The sequence below is a fragment of the Homo sapiens genome, chromosome X (assembly GCF_000001405.40).
Source record: "Homo sapiens chromosome X, GRCh38.p14 Primary Assembly".
In the NCBI taxonomy this organism is placed as follows: domain Eukaryota; kingdom Metazoa; phylum Chordata; class Mammalia; order Primates; family Hominidae; genus Homo; species Homo sapiens.
This window is the reverse complement of record NC_000023.11, coordinates 50,442,473-50,458,385: the sequence shown is the minus strand read 5'-3', so window position 1 is coordinate 50,458,385 and position 15,913 is coordinate 50,442,473. Positions and strand designations below refer to the sequence as shown.

Genomic DNA, 15,913 nt, shown 5'->3' with positions numbered 1-15,913 from the left:
AAAATCCAGTGAAGCCTTTTATCTTCAGTATTATAGACCCATAGAATGTCCTGGAAAGAGCCTTTGGGGGTCAGGTAGTCCAGTGGTTTTAAAACCTTTTTAGCAGTAGAATCTCATGTTTTTCTCAATGAAATAATAAATGAAAGCCAGACACTTAACATAAAACATGCAGTATTTTATCACTCCTCTTCTATGCTAAAATGGGTTTGTAAATAACTTAGCTTCCCAATTGCTTATTTTAGGCTAAGAGGAGAGTGTGTTTGCGCTCCCTGTTTATTACTAGCTCCTTAGCAAGGAGGCTGGTGATGCAGGAGCACATGGGACCAAAAAGAAAAAGAAAAAGAAAGAAAGAAACAAGTCAGGGTTTAAATTTTGGCCTGTAATATTCCAGAAGGTAGATCATACTTTCTCGGAAACATGGCCGTTCTCTCAAGTTTCTTTCTTCCCTCCTCCTAACCTGGAATGTGTTAAAACTATCTCATAAAGTGGGTTGTCATAATGCACACTGTCTTTGCTTATAGCTCTTTATTATTTTTGGGGATTGTGTTCCTGACAAAGAACACTACACCAAATAAACTGTAGATATAACTAAAAATATGTGGTAAAAGCTAGTATATAACTGTAAGCCTCTGTAATCATTTAAAGCAGCAAAATTGTTCCAAGTCCTATAAAATAGGCATAAACGTACCATCCACATTGAATTTGTAAGGGGCCTCAGTGTACTATAAACTGTACATGAAGCACATAAAAGAGCTAATTCTACATAACTTTAATCCGTTGTTTATTATTTATTTAGAATTTACACTCTGCCTGCATCCAGAAAAGATACGAAGTATCTTACAAAATCAAATGCACATAAAACAGTACAATTAAGCACAGATAAAAACAGGACAAAGCCAGTTCAAAGCAAGGGTGAATCAGACCTAGAACAAATGTATGCTAGTTATAATAAACCCTAATTACATTATTAATTAGCGGTACTTTTGTTTGCTGCCTTTGATGGTCGAAGGACTTTGGGTAATGATTTGAATGACTCAGGCCTCTTAAAGTTGGTGTCCAAGGAAGTTTGAGCTGATGCAATACATCTTCCTGTAGCAAGCTGCAGCAACTATAAAATGAAGAACTAAAGGTTGCCAGGATTGTGGTATAGGTGTTAATGAGCTGTCCTAAAATGCTGCAAGACTGGGTTATTTTGGTGTGCCTGCATTTTAATATGCTAATGTTCGTGTCTGTGAGGCATATCAGTATGGAATTTTCTCACAAAAATCTTTGCTCCGTGGTAACTTGTAGCAAGAAGTTGAAGAGTTTGGACTCTTCTTAGATTGGAAGTCACCTCACTTTGGTGGACTCCAATTTAGATGGTGGTGCAATATGGGGTAAATTGCTTAATCTTTCTGTGGCTTAGCTTTTATGTCTCTTAAATAAAGCCAGTGATGTGCCATTAACTCAGCTCAGCAGTCTCATCCAGCAGGCCTTCACTGCTATCCCCTCCGGGCTAGACACCCAGAACCTAGGGTTCCCATAGCACCCTGTGCAAACCTTTGCATTACCAGTAGGCGGTGGTAAGCAGGACTGCCTCATATCTTCCCAGAGGATTATAGATTTTTCTAACTCACACAGACACACCATATGTACTAGGAGGAGGCCCATATTGATTGTGTGGTCTTGAATTACTAGTCTTCAGTCATGAACATAGTTAATTTTAATAAAAATGAGAATGATGATTTATCTCCCCAGTTCTTAAAAAAATCCAAAATGCACATTTATTAAAATACTACATAATAACACTAAATACAGCATAATAACACTAAAGACTATTGCATTTAAGTGTACTATATGGAGAGCAGGTTGAAACAAATAACTAAGTACCATTTGGTAACCTTTTCACTAATCTTAACTGTTAATCAGAATTTAATCTATTTCTGGTAGGCTTTTCACTTTAATTGAAAAGCTCTTGACTCATTACCTTAGTGTCAAATTTCTCCTGTACCTGGCACTTGAATTTGGAGCTAGGTGTCAGTAGGACTATTCCAAGGCTCTCTCTTTTTTGTGAGGACTGAGAAGCAACAGCTAAGCTCTGATGTTCCTTTGGCAGTCCAAGTTTTATCTAAAATAGCGTTCTACTAATTACAGGAAAAGCCTTAACTTGTTTCACCAATGCCTCTGATCAGATTAGCACCCTGACCTTGAAATGGTCTGGTCAGGGAAGAGAATATGAAGTCTCCAATCAGAGAGCAGGAAACCCCAACAGGCACCTTGTTTCCAATCAGAAGGAACAACTTTTCCTTTTAAATGAGAAGGAAAACTTCTACCCTTTCTAGAATAGCTGCAGGGCAAGATGACCACATAAAGTTGTACAGGTTGTGCACTATATGAGGGTGTCATGTCTAATGGGACACCTTTCACATTGTAGACACCATAGATGTATATATTCATTGTGGCAATTTTCTAGCAGATGGCAGTTAAGTGCCTTGCTTTGACAAAATTGGTATATTATGACAATAAGGGAGTGTAGACAAATGTGGGCAAATAATGTTTAGGGAAAAGGGGAGGGGAAAAATACTGAATTAGAGGTTGAAGTATTGGAAGCAAACCAGGAGAGAAAGAATGTGTAATTTTTTAAGGAACATTTTCCTTTAAAGGGTTGATCCTGAGTAATTTTTTCAATAACTTCTATTTTTCCTTTGGCTATTCTCTCTTTGTTGATGAAAATCCTCCAAATGGCTTTGAAAGGAGGGGAATATTATTAATGTGTTGCCATTGGATGGAATGCAAGTGTCTTTTCTCTCATTACACAACTGCTTATTTATAAGCCTTGGAATATATTGCGCTTAGGGAAACTAGTAATGAAGGTTAATATTTATCCAGTTATTAATAGGAGGAGTATGAAAATACTTCTCTTTTATTAAAATAATGAGAATATATTGTTCTGTATGTAAAAATTCTATTTTAATGTTCTTCACACATAGTGTGAAGTATTAAGTACCTATACTTAATAACTGCTGAATTAACATGAACAACAAAGCAGTGATAGACAGATAAATAGAGACATAGATAGATACAGATATTAAAAGATCTCCAAAGACAGCAAGCTAAAATATACTCAGAGCATTATAAAATTTGCTCTGAAAATGTTGAGGGAAAGTGAGGACTTTCTTAAAGAAAACTGGTCTTACCAAGTCAACATCATCTTTTAGGTATCAACTGAATAATAAGCTCCTTAAAACAGCTGCAGACAGTGGAGGAAACAAAGGGAAGGCCAGACAGAATAATCAGGGAATAAATCAGTAATTGTTTGAAAGTGTGAACTGAAGACCTAGTAGGTCCCCAGTTTGTGGAAAGAACAAAATGGATGCAAATTCTGCAATCTCATTTGAAAGACAAAACGTGTACATTGGAGACAGGTACATAACAATATAAGGAAAGATATGATTTTGTTACAGGAAAAGTGGTACAGAGAATAATGCTGTAGAATTATAAAAGAGGACAAATAAAGGATGGAGGAGGCTTTTCTTGTAATTAGTAGAAAACTATTTTAGATAAAACTTGAACTGCCAAAGGAACATCAGAGCTTAGCTGTTGCTTCTCAGTCCTCACAAAAAAAGAGAGGCTTGCATTAGTCCTACTGACAATCTAGCTCCAAATTCAAGTTAGGGAAGGCTTCCTGATGGACTTGAGATCAACTGAATTTAGATCTGTGGAGAGGAGAAAGCATTCCACTACTAGGGAGCAAGCAACATACACAAATACCTGGAAGCAGCAAGAACCCTATTCAGCTGATATCAAAGAGCTTTGAGAGAAAGGCAGAGGGATTTGGACCTTATTATGTATAGCAGGATATTAATTAATGTTCTTGAGTAGGAGAGTAACATAATGAAAGTACTGTTTTTAAGATATATATTGTGACAGTGTAAAGGATAGATTGGAAGGGAACAATACAGAATGCAGAAAGGTTACTTGGGCTGTTGCAGAAATCAAGGTGAGAGATGATGGTGGCCTGCTTACCTCAGGCAATGATAATCTAAAATCATTCATTTAACACCTACTCTGTGTTGAGCGCTGTGCCAATAACTGTAATTTGCCTGAAGGAAGGAAATTATAGTCAAGTAAAGGAAATAAGACCAAGTATACAAATAACTGTAATCTCAAATAGAAAATGAATATAGCCACAAGAGAAACTCAAATTTAAAGGAGATAAGAATTGATTGGGGCCTAGCAAGATGGGGTAGACTTGGGTTCAGTGATGAGTAAAAGAACATTCCAGAATTTTTCTTATTTGGGTGGAGGTGCTGAGAGGAGTGATGAGAAGGGAATTCTAGGCAAGCAAAACGGTGTGAGCAAAGGAACAGAGATGGGAAAACTGTTTTTTTCTTTTTCTTTCTTTTTTTTTTTAAGCCTGAAGGTGTGAGAGAACTGGGGGAGAACAAGTGAATAGTGGAGTAAGGAGAAAGAAATGGTCAGAGGAGGTAGCATAGGATGTTGATAATGTCTCATTTTCTCTCCACTCTGCAACTCACCCTTTTCTCAGGCTGGCTGGATTCTTTGTGGGTGCCATCCGAGGGTCTGCAATGCTTTCGTTTCCCCTCTGGATTGCCCATTTCTATGCACCATCTTTCTCTGCCATGAGAGCATCAGATCTTGATTGGCTTTCAGAGATGTCCATGTCTGAGAAGGGAGCTAATTCCCCCATGCATTTTATACAGGGCCAGTTGCTACATGAAGGAACATCTATATTCAGTCTTTGGTATTCAAGAGAATCTTTCAGTCTCAGTTTTGTTTCCTGTATATGTCTGTTTGTCATACTTTTGGAAGGCCTTGTCATGCATGTAAGGAATACTACTTCTAATTGGCTTTCTCTCTAGGCTTATAATATTGCAGAATGAGCCTTCAGAGACCTTCCCAATCAGGCATGTTATAGCCAAAAAATGTAGTTGTCTTTCTAAACTACCCCTTGATTTTTGTATCATACTCTAATGCCTTATACACATGCATTTCCCATGTCCTATGTCCTTGTATTCTCACCCCAATCCTCTGTAATTAGCGATATTCATTTAATTCCCATTGTGCAGATGAGAAAACCAAAGCTAAAGGAAACTTAACTGAAGATCAGAGTCAAGACTGAGGCCCAAGGCTCCAGACTACAAAACCACTTCCTAGTCCACCTCAAGATAATTAATACAAGGTTTTCAAAGCAGCCTCTTTGAGCCTAGAAATGATCTAGGTTCCTCTAAACAAAGTGGGATAATGGGGGCCACTTGCCTGCCTTTTAGGACTAATTACTTTCTTTAGGGCTAAACAAATCCAGACTTAAGATGAGATACCATTTTAAGGTGGTTGTAATGATTGATTTTTTAAAAGGCTTAAAACTTTTAAAATGCTTATAATGATGATTCATCATTTAAACTGTTTGAGACTTCCTGAGATCAGAATTCTCAAAAGGTTCTACAATTCCTAAGAGATTAAAAACACACCAGTCTAGTGCTTTGGGCCCAGAATTGAGATTTAACAGGCTGACTCTATTCCTAGCTGTGCCTTTGTGATTTGAGATAAATCTTTTAACCTCTCACTTCTTATTTATCCATTTGCAAACAAGCATATTTCCCACCATAGAATATCTGGGAAGCACTTTAAAATTCTAGGCTCAAAGGTATTTTAAAGCCTTATGAATTCTGTAAAGCACTTTGCATAGCTTTAAAATGAATGTGACACCAATACATGGTGGAATTCATTCACTAAAAAACAGTAAAGAGCATGGGGACAGGGTTAGAGCCCAGATTTCTGCCTGCTTACTACTGTTTTTTAACAAGTGCATCTCAGGACTGTGCTGTGCTTCCATCTCTGCCACAATGTGGTGTTGTCACAGCAAGTTGGATTATTTTGTACACTGCCTCTTGTTGAGCATTATGTCACTAAGACTGATTGCTGGGTAGAGATTTTTCTAAGGTAGAAGCCTAGTGAAGAAGGCGATTTCTTTACTTCACTTCCCCGCTTTGGAGCCTAGATTATATGAAAGAAGAAATGTTTTAGACTCTTTGGAATAATACTTCTCTGTCCTATGCCTTAATGTCCTTGTCTATAAAATGGAGTTAAGATTTGCTTCTACCTACAGAAAGTACGGTGTGAGGGTAAATGAGAGAGTTGCAGTGCAATATAGCGGGCTTCAGAGTCAGACGCATTTGGGTTGCAATCCCAGCTCTGTCATTTCCTAGCTCTGTGACCTTGGGCAAAGACCCTCACTCACCTTTCTGCGTCTCATTTTCCTTATTTATGATATCAGTCTAATAATTCCCACCTTGTAAGGTTTTTCTAAGGATCAAATGACATATCAAGTTCTTAGTTCAGTGCCTTGTGCCTAACTGATTCTTTAAAACTATGGTAGCCCCTACAATGTGGAGAACACTGATTTTGTTTCAAGCAAATGCTATACTTGCTCATGACCTCTGGTCCGTTTTCCTTTCAAAAGGATGAGTGCCCTATGCAGAATAAGGAAAAAGTCAGAACAACAAGGATGGCTATCTTAACAATGCATCTTAACATCAGAGTCATATATCCCCTTTAATTACTGCTGTTTCCTTCTCTTCTGGTTAAAGGGGAATGTTAAGAGAAAGATCCACAATTCAATTCAACAAGTATTTCTGAGTACTTAGCATGTACCTCTCTGACTTTTTTCATAGTAAGTTCTTGCCTGTTGCCATAATTTTTCATAGAAAAGTGGTAGATACTTCATTGATATTAGTAATTGTAGGATTTCCTGAGTTTTCAGTCAATGATTATTTTAATCTTTCCCGACATCTGAGCTAACAATATCTGACTAATCACTATCTCATATATATATTCTACATATAAATTGTATATAAATATATAATTTCCAGTGTGCATAGAATTGGCATCAATTTCATTTACACTTGTCTCTAGCAAGAATATTAGTAACACTTGGGTGACCTGCCTTCAATCATTGAGGATGACGATGAACTTTCATCATTCTGGAAAATGATGAACTTCCTTCAGCAAAGAATGGTGACCTTTCATGATCAATGTATGAGAGTTCACAAAGTTTTGTATTAACTTTATTCCAACTGCTGAAGAAATTGCTGGAGAAACTTAAGTCCTGAAAGAAGCTCTTTTCACTTGGAGTCTCTCCTAGGTAGATTTTTCAAGTAGATAGAGGCATTAATTCAATATCTACATAGAGTTTTTTTCCCATTCATAGAGGACTAGAGAAGTGCCATTAAATTTCAAAGCCCCATTTTTTTATTTTTTCACTTAGAGAAGAAAACTATTTTGTGTTGCCTTCCTCCCTGCCACCCCTCTTGATTAGAGTTGTTCTGAATCTGAGAACACTGACAACTATATTTTCCTAGGATGGCCTTGTAACTTGAGATTGCAGCATAACAAACATGGCAGACACAATTTCTGATGCATGGATTTATATCCATAAGACGAATTGGAGGGAACAAGGCTATTCTGTTTATGCATTGACATTGCAACATCTGCTACTATTAAGAGACCTGAGCTCTGATATCAAGTTTGGCTACCCTGACAAGGTCTCCAAGATCCTAAGGCTCCTCACAGTTGATGATATCTTCTATAGTCAACTCTCCATCTCTAGGTGAAATGAAGACAGATTTAGGTATTTAATCCATGGTCTCAAGTAGCCTTGAGATTTCATAGAGGAGGCTCATGGCAGAGCATGCCTCTTGTCCTCTGGGAAGAACTTTGACTCAGTAGTCTAAAAATAACATGAATGCCAGGGATAGTCATGTATACACTGCTGTGGTCAAATGGCTGTGTTTGCTAAGCATACACCTTAGAAGACAGACAAATGATTATAAATGGTTGTGAAGAGACAGCACTGACCTTCTGGGAAGTGTGAGGCAAACCTAGCTTATGTGTCATCCTGCAACAGGATCAAGTTCTGTATACAGTGGAAAGCTGCCACTTGAAGCCCACCAACGGAACAAGGTCAGCCAGATAAAAAAGGCAGGGCAGCAACATCCAAGTTCCCATCACAGTTCCACTCATCTGAGTTGGTGCTCTGTGTTTTATAAATGGCAGTTGGAAACTAAACAGCCAGTGTATGATGTGGTCAAGTAATCAGAAGCCTAGAGGATGAAGAAAAGCTTTCTGGAACACACTGAAATACAGCATGGCTTGGCCTTGGACTTCCAGCAAATGAGAATGTATGTGCAGACCGTTCTAGTCAGGAACTCTCAGAAACAGAATGTCTTTTTGCATATGGAGCCAAATATGAATCTTAGTTGCAAAAGTATGAAAAATATCTAGTGTGAGTAGTGGATAAGGCTGGCCTCAAGGATAGGGTTTGTGTGTAGAGCATGGAAGATAGTGACCACAATTATTTGCAGCCATGTGTATACATGACTAGTCATCACTCTCACCTGTACTACATTTCAGCATAAAGGACAACAATGTGTGCCTTGTTTCTCAAGTCCATCTCGCAGAAGGCTAATCTACACATTTTCTATGATTTAGAAGAAAGAAAATATTTAAAAAACGCCACATACAGTTAGTCATCCTTTCTAGGCTAAAGTCAATTCGAGGGATTGACTCTCAGTTGCCAGGGGGACTTTCGTGGGAAAAGTTAAAGTACTGTAGCTGGAGAAGTCAGTCAAGAAAGCTTCAACTCAGTCGTAGGTGCTATTGGGGCCCTCTATACCCCATGCGTGTCTGAGCAAGGTCGTGGTACTAGTGGTGTAAACAGTAGCACAGGAGTGGTTGTGAGCCGGCTCAGCTCTTGAAGCCACTGTGCTTCATCATTGCCTTTTCTCTCTAGGGAGGCTGATCACTAGAGTCTTTGTATGACCCATTACATTATTTCCTCAGAGGCAGCTTAGGGTTTCTGTTCTCTGGCATGTGGCTTCTATCTCTGCGCAGAGGGAGGAAAAATAAACAATAAATTAGTCCGCCTTGTCTCTCCTCAGTGTCTTCTAGTCCCAATACCATTGAACGTTGTCTTAGATGTTTCAACCAAGGCTTCTACTACAGCAGACACTTCCTCTGTGGGATGGCTATTGATGAGGTATTTGAATATTTCATCACCTTTGGGTGGATCTTTCCCAGGTTCCACTTAAGGAGGGGAAAAACAGGAGGAGTGAGGGAGGAGATGAGGCTCCAAATGGGTAATATCTCAAATGCTGTTACTTCCGCTATCTCCCCTCTGACTACTCCCTGGGCTGCCACCCTAAAGGGCACATGGTTCTTGCTTTGGGGTGTCACCATGTGGTTTAGCATACAACTGTCATTCCAGAGCTTGATCTTCCTGCAATGTAGTGGTGATCTCAACAAAGAAGGAAACTGATGTGTGCAAGCTAGTGTGGGCAGGCTGTTGAGGCTGTAAGCTGACAACAATGACTTCTACTTTACCCTGCCCCTGCTCTGGGATAAAAGGCCCCAATACTCACCACAGGAAAAGATGCCACTCAATTCATTCTAATATCCTGGCAATTATTTTATCAGGGTGAATACAGAGGCACTTCCCCATTCCTCCCTGCTTCACAGGTTCCTGCAGTCCCTCTGGGGCAATGAAGACCATTATTCCTAGGGCATCCTGCAGGGGGAGTTCTAGGTCAGAAAGCAGATAGAAGCCCTTAACCTGGTTCACTGTTGGGACACCTTCAACTGTGACTCATAGTAGGCATCTGATCTTCTGAGTCACCACTATTAAGGGATACTGGTCATCCAGTGCTCATTGTGAGCTCCTGATAGCTATGCAGACTTTACAGACTCTCGGAAGAACAAGAGAATCTATTTTGAAGCTCACCACTCCCTACCTCACGCCCTCCATGCATTATTGAGTCCATTTGTGGCTGTGTGTATACTTATGCACACTCATATGGATTTGCCCCTGCTGATGTATGTGTGTTTCTCTTCCTACTAGTATGAGTTAGTGTTTCTGTGTAGGAGTCTAGCATTATGTCTTTTAGTCAAGTCCTGTGAGGGGCATTCTCGGATAATTAATAGAGTAATTTGTTTAGAAAGCACTTCCCACCCCCAGATGTCCCTAAGCAGACTGGGCTGATCACAAAAAATGAATGAATAAATAAATAAATCAGAACTATCTGGGGAGCTCCCAGAAGATCAAATAGCCCTATTTCAGATCAGCCATTTGGGATCCAGGAAATGGTATTGGGGCCAGAGCCTGCAAGATGGAAGTACTGGGTATGAGATGGAAAAAAAAAAGAGAAAGGAGCTTTAATAAAAGGTTAAAAGTATTCCCACCCAAAAAATGGATGTAACCTCTGCCAGATGCCTAATTTCTCTTTCGATGTTTAGAAATACCACACAAATAGCTCTTGCATTTGAGTTGTCCAGGTGGCTGGAGATCCATTTATTTTACATTTAACAAAGGGTCAAAGGATCTTTACAGATGTTTTTGCTTAAGGGTCCCAAATAAACTGTCCACCACATTTATCTGGAGGTTGACTGGGGTGGGGGTAGTTTGTTCAGTACTTGCTATTTTTATGTCACCTTTAAGTCGCTCCTTTTTTAAAAAAAATAATTGAAAAGCAACATTTATGTCCTGAAAGATTTCCGAAAAGAATACAGAAGATCTGAGTTACTGCTCCCCCTCCTTCCCAAGAGAATTTCTCACTGGAAATCCAAGCAAGTCACTTGGACTCTGCCCTGAACACAAAGGATTATCCTGCAAATAACAGAAATTGGTTAAATATTGGTACAACCCAAGGGAAAGTGTCAGAAATCTAGCCCTACCTTAAGCCAAGTTGGGTTTTGAGAGTTGGCGGATAATGATAACTAGTCAGTGTTTGACAATGTAAGCTCATAGAATCTGATTGTCTTTGTATGAAACACCTAAAACCAGTGCTCTGCAGTGAGTTCCAGTTTACTGAATTTTGATTCATGTTGGTTCCTTATTAAGTAGGTGTGTCATGCATTTGTTGTACAGTGGCCTTGGATCTCAACTTCTGTGAAATATATATATAATATATATATATATATATTATATATATATATAATATATATATATTATATATATATATAATATATATATATTATATATATATATAATATATATATATATATACATACACACACACATACTACTTCTCGTAGACATTAACGAATTTTAGATTTTTGACTTATGTATGACCACATACTTTTCAAGACATTTATATAAATCAAGACAGATTTATATAAATATAAATATATATATATTATATATATACACACACAATAGTCATGCTTCCCTATTTAATTTTTATAAATGGAGCAGTATAATTTGAAGAGGAATTGTAATTTTATGAGCTATTTCCTCCCCATGCACATCAGGCATGGTAAATAAACCCTCACTAGATAATATCTTTTACAGTATTATATTCAGCTCTAGGAGCTATGGTTCTATGAATTCCATCGTAGTACATATGCATTAGCATTTATGCATGAGCAATAAGCTCAAGCTTTTCTAGTTAGACCAGTCAGCGTACATGCACATGCACACATGCATGCACGTACACATGCACATATACATATACACACATGTATGCACATAAATGTAAAAGCCTCCAAAAGCATGAAAGACAGCAGAAAGAATTTCATGAAGAACGTTTCTCCAAAGGCAATATATAACAATATGCTATCAAAAGCATGAGCCAGAACAGTAAGAATTGATCAATTATACCTCATCAAAATTTACAACTTTTACTCTGTAAAAGAACTTCTTAAGAGGATAAAAAGACAAATTGCAGATTAGGAGAAAATATTTTCAAGTCACATATCCAACAAAGGACTTGTATCTGGACTCTATAAATAACTCTAAAAACTCAACATTTAAAAAACAAAAAATCTAATTAAAAAAGAGACAAAAGGCACACAGAGACATTTCATCCAAGAAGATATACAATAGCAAATAAGCAAAAAATGCAAAGATGTTCCACATCATTAGCCATTAGAGAAATACAAATTAAGACCACAATGAGATGTCACCATACACCTATTAGAATGGCCAAAATAAAAAAGTAATGACAACACCAAATGCTACAGAGGATGTAGAGGAACTGTATCACTTATAAATTGTTGGTGGAACTCCTATTCAACATAGTACTGGAAGTCCTGGCCAGAGCAATCAGGCAAGAGAAAGAAATAAAGGACATCCAAATAGGAAGAGAGGAAGTCAGACCATCCTGTTTGCAGACAACATGATTCTATATCTAGAAAACCCCATAGTCTTGGCCCCAAAACTCCTTCAGCTGATAAACAACTTCAGCAAACTCTCAAGATACAAAATCAATCTAGAAAAACCACTAGCATTCCTATACACCAACAACAGCCAAGCCAAGAGCCAAATCAGGAACGCAATTCCATTCACCATTGCCATAAAAGGAATAAAATACCTAAGAATACAGCTAACCAAGGAGGTGAAAAACCTTTACAAGGACAATTACAACACACTTGTCAAAGAAATCAGAGATGACACAAACACATGGAAAAACATCCCATGCTCATGGATGGGAAGAATCAATATCATTAAAATGACCACACTGCCCAAAGAAATTTAGAGATTCAACACTGTTCCTATCAAAGTACCAATGACATTATTCATAGAACTAGAAAAAACTATGTAAAAATCCATATTGAGCCAAAAAGGAGCCCGAATAGCCAAGGCAATCCTAAGTAAAAAGAACAAAGCTGGAGACATCACGTTACTCGACTTCAAATTTTACTAAAGGGCTACAGTAACCAAAACAGCACAGTACAGGTACAAAAACAGACACATAGACCAACGGAACAGAATAGAGAGCCTAGGAATAAGGTTGCACACCTATAACCATCTGATTTTCTACAAAGCTGACAAAAACAAGCAATAGGGAAAAGACTTCCTATTAAATAAGTGATGCTGGGATAACTGGCTAGTTATATGCAGAAGATTGAAACTGGACCCCTTCCTTACACCATATACAAAAATTAACTCAAGATGGATTAAAGACTTGAATGTAAAACCCAAAACTATAAAATCCCTGGAAGACAAACTAGGCAATACCATTCTGGACATACAACTTGGCAAAGATTTCATGATGAAGACGCCAAACACAATTGCAACAAAAGCAAGATTTGACAAACGGGATCTAATTAAACTTAAGAGCTTCTTCACAACAAAAGAAACTATCAACAGAGTAAACAGACAACCTACAGAATGGGAAAAATATTTGCAAACTATGCATCTGACAAAGGTCTAATATCCGGCATCTACAAGGAGCTTAAACAGATTTACAAAAAAAAAAAAAAAAAAAAAGTGGGCAAAGGATATGAACAGACACTTTTCAAAAGACATACACGCAACCTACAAGCATATGAGAAAAATGCTCAACATTGCTAATAATTGGAGAAATGCAAATCAAAACCACAACGAGATACCATCTCACATCAGTCAGAATGGCTATTAAAAAGTAAAAAAATTACAGATGTTGGTGAGGTTGTGGAGAAAAGGGAACACTTATACATTTTTGGTGGCAGTGTAAATTACTTCAACCATTGTGGGAAGCAGTGTGGCAATTCCTCAAAGAGCTAAGAACAGAGCTACCATTTGACCCAGCAATCCCATTACTGAGTATATACCCAAAGGAATATAAATCATTCTACCATAAAGACACATGCATGTGAATGTTCATTGCAGCACTATTCACAATAGCAAAGACATAGAATCAACCTAAATGCCCATCAATGACAGATTGGATAAAGAAAATGTAGCACATACATACCATGGAATACTATGCAGCCATACAAAAGAATGAGATCATGTTTTTTGCAGGAACATGGATGGAGCTGGAGACCATTATCCTTAACAAACTAATGCAGGAACAGAAAACCAAATACTGCATGTTCTCACTTATAAGTGGGAGCTAAATGATGAGAACTCATGGACAAAAAGAGGGGAACAACAAACATTGGGGCGTACTTGAGGGTGGAGGGTGAGAGGAGGGAGAGGATCAGAAAAAAGTAACTGTTGAGTACTGGGCTTAATACCTGGGTGACGAAATAGTCTGTACAACAAACCCCTGTGAAATGAGCTTACTTATATAACAAACCTGCACATGTACCCCTGAACCTAAAATAAAAGTTAAAAAAATAAATTGCTGGTGGAAATGTAAAATGATACAGTCACTTTCAAAAATAGTTTGCCAGTTTTTTTGTTAACATTAAACATGGATGTACCATATGACCCAGCAATTACACTCTTGGGCATATATTCCAGAGAAATGAGAACTTATTTTCATGCAGAAATGTACACACAAATATTCATAGCAGCTTTATTTATGATAGCCAAATACTGGAGACTACCCATAGGCTATAAAAACCATGGCACATTCTTATCATGGAATACTACTCAGCAACACAACTTTGATGAACCCAAAGGGAATTATGCTGAGTGTAAAAAGCCAACCTCGAAAGGGTACAGACTGAATGATTTCATTTATGTAATCATTGTGAATTAACAAATTATAGAAAAGGAGAATAGATTTGTGGTTGCCAGGGATTAGGGATGGGAGGGGGCAGAAGGAGTAGATGTGGCTATAGAAGGATAGCAGGAGAGAGTTTTGTGCCTACGGTACAGTTCAGTATCTTGATTGTGGTGATAGTTACCCAAGGCTACACATGTGATAAAATTGCATAGAGCTACACACACACACACACACACACACACACACACAAAATGAGTGCATGTATAACTGTGAAATCTAAATAAGCTCTATGGATTGTACCAATGTCATTCTCTTGCTTTTGCTATCATACTATAGTTATACAAGATGCTAACATTGGGGGAGCTAGGTGAAGGGTGCACAGAACCTCCCTCTGCATTTCTTTGCACATTTCTTTCCTGTGAGTCTATAATTATTTTTAAAAATAGCAATAGTGTTTTTTTAAACCCCAGTAATAACATTTTTTGGATGCTAAATATTTTGCTTTATATGTAGGACATAATTTCTTTGTTTTATGTATTAAAAATACATTTTGGTTCTATCTGTGTCATTTTGTGCTCAAGTATAGTACAGTATATTTAAAAGTACAGCATCTGTTGTAAAAGATGTTAGTTCTCTGGCATAGGGATGTCACAGTGGAAATGGGAGGATTTATGCCACTGGACTTGAAGTTTCCTAGGGTAGAATTGTTGGTGTGTTGTGGCAAACAAGCCCCAAAGTGACCTCAAATGATCCCTGCCTCCTGGTGTTCACCCCTTTGTATAATACCCTCCCCTAGAATGTAGGCAGGATCTGTGAATTTCTGTGACTTGTTTCTAACCAACAGAATATGACAAAAGTTATGAGATGTTACTCCTGTGATAATGTTACTATATGTATCTATATAAACTCTGTGTTGCTAGTAGACGAGCTAGTCAGACTCTCTTTCACTGGCTTTGTAGAAATAAGCAGCCATGAAGTAAGTGGCCATGTTGGAGAAGCCCATGTAGCAAGGAACTGTGGGTGGCCTGTAGGAGCTAAGCATGGCCTGCAGCAAAAAACTGAGACCTCAATCTTGTAACCATAAGGAATTGAATTCTGCCAGCAACCTAAGGGAGATTGGGAGCATACCTTTCCACAGCCAAGCTTTTGATGAGAACATAGCCCTGGAAGATAACTAGATCACAGTCTGGTGACACCTTGAAGCAGAGGACTCAGCTAAGCTGTGCCTGAGCCTCTAACCTACAGAAACTGAGATAATAAATGGTTTACTTTTTAAGCCACTAAGTTTGTGGTAATTTGTTACTCAACAATAGAAATGTAATACATACATGAATCCTCTGCAAGGTCCCACTTAGAGTTGAGGCCACAACCCACACAGATCTACTCCCCATAATCTGTCTCATCATCCTGAGACGGAGAGAGGTCAAAAAGAGCAGCTTCACACATTTTGTTTTTTGGTGACCGTGTCCTGAAATAGTGTT

General features: G+C 38.1%; 1 protein-coding gene across 1 annotated transcript in view, besides 1 other annotated feature; it reads left to right on the top strand.

The window, feature by feature from the left end:
- Nucleotides 1–15,913, top strand: part of DGKK (diacylglycerol kinase kappa) — a 105,417-nt gene that overhangs the window by 12,440 nt on the left and 77,064 nt on the right. The gene's annotated exons all lie outside the window — the stretch shown is intronic.
- Nucleotides 7,661–7,955: a silencer, noted in NCBI's record as "tiled region #2913; K562 Repressive non-DNase unmatched - State 24:Quies". NCBI's record gives its function as "represses a minimal TATA promoter and a strong SV40 promoter by Sharpr-MPRA in K562 cells {active_cell/tissue: K562}" and the evidence as "EXISTENCE:reporter gene assay evidence [ECO:0000049][PMID:27701403]".